General features: G+C 40.5%; 1 long non-coding RNA gene across 1 annotated transcript; it reads left to right on the forward strand.

Moving 5' to 3' along the window:
- The first annotated feature begins 468 nt into the window (after positions 1–468).
- LOC124903652 (uncharacterized) lies at positions 469–3,364 on the forward strand. The gene is made up of 2 exons (XR_007065006.1): positions 469–529; positions 2,665–3,364. It is a non-coding gene; the product is annotated as an uncharacterized LOC124903652 (long non-coding RNA).
- Positions 3,365–4,784: the final 1,420 nt, after the last annotated feature.

Here is a 4,784-nt window from a genome sequence, read left to right on the forward strand (position 1 = left end):
CCAGGTTGGTCTTGAATTCCTGGGCTCAAGTGATCCACCCGCCTTGGCCTCCCAAAGTGCTGGGATTGCAGATGTGAGCCACTGGGCCCGGCCGGTGACATTGGTATTTTTAAAAAGGTACTCAGTGATTTCAATGTGTAGCTAGAGCTGAGAATCACTCCTTCAGACTAATAAAGAAGGTCAATGGCTATTAAGGCAACTACCCTAAAGAATTAACTTAAAGTCTATGTGTAAGTTTGTCTCTTGTCAACATAGAGTCTAGTTTCCTTCTAATTTTGATTATAAAATAGGAAAGCATTTTCCTATACTATAAAAAAGTTTGCTTTAAGAGTCCCAGGACTGATTTATTATGACCTTGAGATTTAAAAACATTTATTATTGGAAACCATGTTTGTTTGAACCATGTTTGTTTGAATGTTTATTGTAGAAAAGTCCATTTTTCCTTTTAAAGTCATAAACTAAATTTGTTACAGGAGGTTGATTTTGTGTTCCAAGCCTGTGATCATTAACTGTTTTCCAGCTCTACCAGGTAGGGTATTGAACCTTTTCTTATTTGAGATTCAAATAAATTCTCCTTTACCAAAATGTTATTTTGCAAATAACTAAGTGACTCTAATGGATTAACTTTAAAATGCAATGCCAAATCTTGATTTTCCACGAATGAATAATTTGAAAGAAATTTCTCTGTTCACTACATATACGCCAGAAAGAATATCAACCTTGGCTTTTGATATATTTTAAATTCCTGGTTCAAGTTTCTTATGTGGCCAAATTGTTCTTAGTGACCTGGGCTTCTGTAAAATGTCCCTGATTCCTTTCATAAAATGCTTATTTTGGCTTATGCTGCTCGAGTGAGTTTCTGTTACCATCTTTGATAAAGACAATCATTAATCCTGACAGCAGCCTTGCAAAGTGAGTCTTACTATTCCCATTTCACAGATGGATAATCTGAGCCCTTGGGTACTGAGAAACTTGCTCAAGTCCATACAATTAGGCACTGGTAGTCCCTGGACAACAACCCAGATCTACTTGACCCCAAAGCTGATGAGTTTCCACCCTCACAGAAGGTCCTAATATGGCACATTGCTTTTTTTTACATTGGGATATAATTCATGTCTTATAAAACTCACCATTTAAAAGTGTATAATTTAGTGGTCTTAGTGTATTCTCAAGATTTTTCAACTATCACCACTGTCTAATTCTAGGATGTTTTCATCACCCTCCAACCCCAGACCTCTACCATTAAGCAGCCACTCTTTCACTCCTGTCCCCCAGCCTCTGGCAACCACTAATTTACTTTCTGTCTCTATGGATTTGCCCATTCTGGGTATTTGATACACATGGAGTCATACAATATGTGGCCTTTTGTGTCTTGGTTCTTTCACGAAACACAGTGTTTTCTAATTTCTAATTTCTACATTTCTGTCGTAGAATATATCAGTACTTCATTTCTTTTTATGGCTAAATAACATTCCATTGTATGGATAGACCCCATTTTGTTTATTTATCTGTTTACAGACATTTGGATTATTTCCACCTTTTGGCTATTATAAGATACATTTTGTAAATAACATTGTTATAGAAGTCTTGTTTTCCAAATTAAACAGAAGGGCAGGTCCTGTTTCACACACTTTTTTTTTGTATTAAAAATATATGAGGGCTCTTCCAGTTGCTATTACTGGGTAACAAATCACACCAATTTTTAGTGCTATAAGCCACAATTTTATTACACTCACAGATCCTGTAGGTCAAGAATCAGACCAGAGAGGGTGGCTTGCTCTGCCTCATGATGTCTGGGGACTCAGCTGGGAAAACTCAAAAGTTGAGGGTGACTTGATGGCTGGGGACTAAAGGCATCTAGAGGAATCTTCTGTCACATGCCTGTATTTCATACTCACTGTTAGCTGAGACCTCAGCTAGCCAGTTAGCCAAAACGTCTGCATGTGGCCTCCCTAGGTGGTCTCTTCAGGTGGGCTAATTGGACTTCCTCACAACATAGTAGCTGGGGTCCAACAGTGAGTAGCTCAAGAAAAAAAGGAGGAAGTGCATATGCTTTTTATGTTCTAGCCCTGGAAATCAAATAGCATATTTTCTGCTGTAATCTTAATGATTGAGGCAGTTTCTAAGGTTAAAAGGGGAGGGATCATGGACTTCATCACTCAACACGAGAAATAAAAGGTCACATTATGACAGCATGTGGTATGGGAGATATCACTATGGCCACCTTTGGAAAAAAACCATCTGCCACAAGGACCTTGCACTGGGCTTGTGACAGGTATCCAGTAGATCCTTATTTAATTAAATATATTCATGCTTATCAACAAATTACATATTGGCCTGCCTGCTTGTTTGTTCATGAATCCATCTCCTCCTTCAGAAATGACCCCTTCTTGGGTATTATTCTAATGCTTTCATTTCTTAACTTCTGCATTTTCCTAGCTTAGGCAAATCACTTTACTTCTCAGAGCCTCAGTTGTCTTACCCATAAAATGGGCAAACACATTTGTTCCCACTCTACAAAATTAGTTTGGGAATTCAGTGGGCTAAGGTATAAATAGTGCTTACTTTAGATGCTGTTTGGAGGTAAAGGTTCAATAAATGATAACTATTATTATTGCTGTTGTGATTACCTGAATGTAATCCCCATTCTCTTATACTTTTCAGCATCCTGTCCAAGCCTTTAAGATGAGGAACAAATTCTATGTGAGGAGAAATGGCAAAAATTGGTATGCCTCTGCTTTTCTGATTTCCCATTCCCTTCCATTTCTCTTATTAACAAGTAAAAGTAAGGAAATCCTGTCCTGTGGATAACTTCCCATTGACTTGCAGAGAGCTCAGACATGCTATGGTAGATATGGATACTATTTTGTTTTTGTTTTTTGAGATGGAGTCTTGCTCAGTCACCCAGGCTGGAGTGCAGTGGCATGATCTCAGCCCACTGCAAACTCCGCCTCCCAGGTTCAAGTGATTCTCCTGACTCAGCCTCCCGAGTAGCTGGGATTACAAGCAGATGCCACCACACCCAGCTAATTTTTGTATTTTTAGTAGAGACAAGGTTTAACCATCTTTACTAAACAGACTAGGCCCGTCTTGAACTCCTGACTTCAAGTGATCTGCCCGCCTCAGCCTCCCAACGTGCTGGGATTATAGGTGTGAGACACTGCACCTTGCCAATGGTGAATATTGTTGATTTAAAATAATAGATATAATAAATCTCCAATCTCAGGGAAGTTTCCAAGTCCTAAAGTCAAAACTTCCGATCTTGCCGTGTGCTTGAATTATCCTCAATTAGAGTCCCTGCTGCTGTTGCATGTCGCTGTAATTATTCTGTCATCGTTAATTCAATGAAGCCTATTAACCCACATCAGATAGTGTATTTATCTACAATGCATGTTACCTGCTCCTCTAGATAAGACAGCTGTCATACTTCAAGTCTGCTGTCTCTTTGTTGAGGTCCAGTAGTGTCAGTCTGCAAGTGTTTCATGTTTCATATACATTACAGAATCCCCATTAATGGTTGATATGATTAGGCTTTGTGTCCCCACCCAAATCTCATCTTGAATTACATTCCCTATAATCCCCACATGTCAAGGGAGAGACCAGGTGGAGATAATTAAATAATGGGGGCAGTTTCCCCCACGCTGTTTTCATGACAGTGAGTTCTCACGAGATCTGATGGTTTTATAAGGAACGCTTCCCTCTTTGCTCGGCATTTCTCCTTCCTGCTGCCTTGTGAAGAAGATGCATTGTTTTCCTCTTCACTTTCTGCCACAATTGTAAGTTTCCTGAGGCCTCCCCAGCCATGCTGAACTGTAAGTCAATTAAACCTCTTTCCTTTATAAATTACACAGTCTCAGGCAGTTCTTTACAGCAGTATGAAAATGGAGTAATACAATGATGTTCTTATAACTTCCCAGACTGGAAGGCTTGCTGGTCTTGTGAGATACTGAACTGGAGACAGCAGAAAAATGCATCCTCCTGATATTGTGAGCAACCTCCTCTCTTCTTCCCTCTCTCCTCTTCTTCCCTTTCTTCTGTTTTCCCTTCTAGGAGCCAAGAGCATAGGCTCTGGAACCAGCCTGCCTGGTTTGAATCATGCCTCTGCCTGGGGATCTTGGGCAGGTTGCTTGGTCTCTCTGAGCCTGTTTTTTTCATCTGTGCAAGAATCACAACTCTCTTGTGAGAATTTAATGTGCTAATCTGCATAAAGCACATAGACAACTGTCTGGCTCATGATGGGAGTGTAACTGTGGTTATTTCTTCCTATTTTCTTCCCTCCCTTCCAACAGAAGAAAGTCTCTGAGATGCGTGTCTTATGTGGCATATGCTGGACTTGGTGCCTGGGGTTCATTGGCAGACTAGTCCCTCTGGTACCTCCAGCAAGGAAGATAGATGTTAATTATTAATTGATACCCATTGTGATAAATCTCACAAGGTACCATGAATGGGTATAACAGCTCCCTTTCTGTGGAGGAGGTGGAGGTGATAGGTAAGACTTCCTGGAGGAAGTAACATTTGAACAGAGATCTGAAAGATAAAATACTTCCAGGAGGAGTGTGTGTGTGTGTAAGTCAGTCAACATCAGAACACCTCCAGCAGTGGAAACAGTGTATAGGAAGCTCTGAAGTAGGAAGGATCCTCTGTTAATGGTTTTTTTGTTGTTGTTTTCCCTCTTCGAGACAGAGTCTCAGTCTGTTGCCCAGGCTGGAATGCAGTGGCACAGTCTCAGCTCACTGCAACCTCTGCCTCCCAGGTTCAAGCGATTCTCGTACTTCAGCCTCCTG

Source organism: Homo sapiens, chromosome 16, assembly GCF_000001405.40.
Source record: "Homo sapiens chromosome 16, GRCh38.p14 Primary Assembly".
Lineage (NCBI taxonomy): Eukaryota > Metazoa > Chordata > Mammalia > Primates > Hominidae > Homo > Homo sapiens.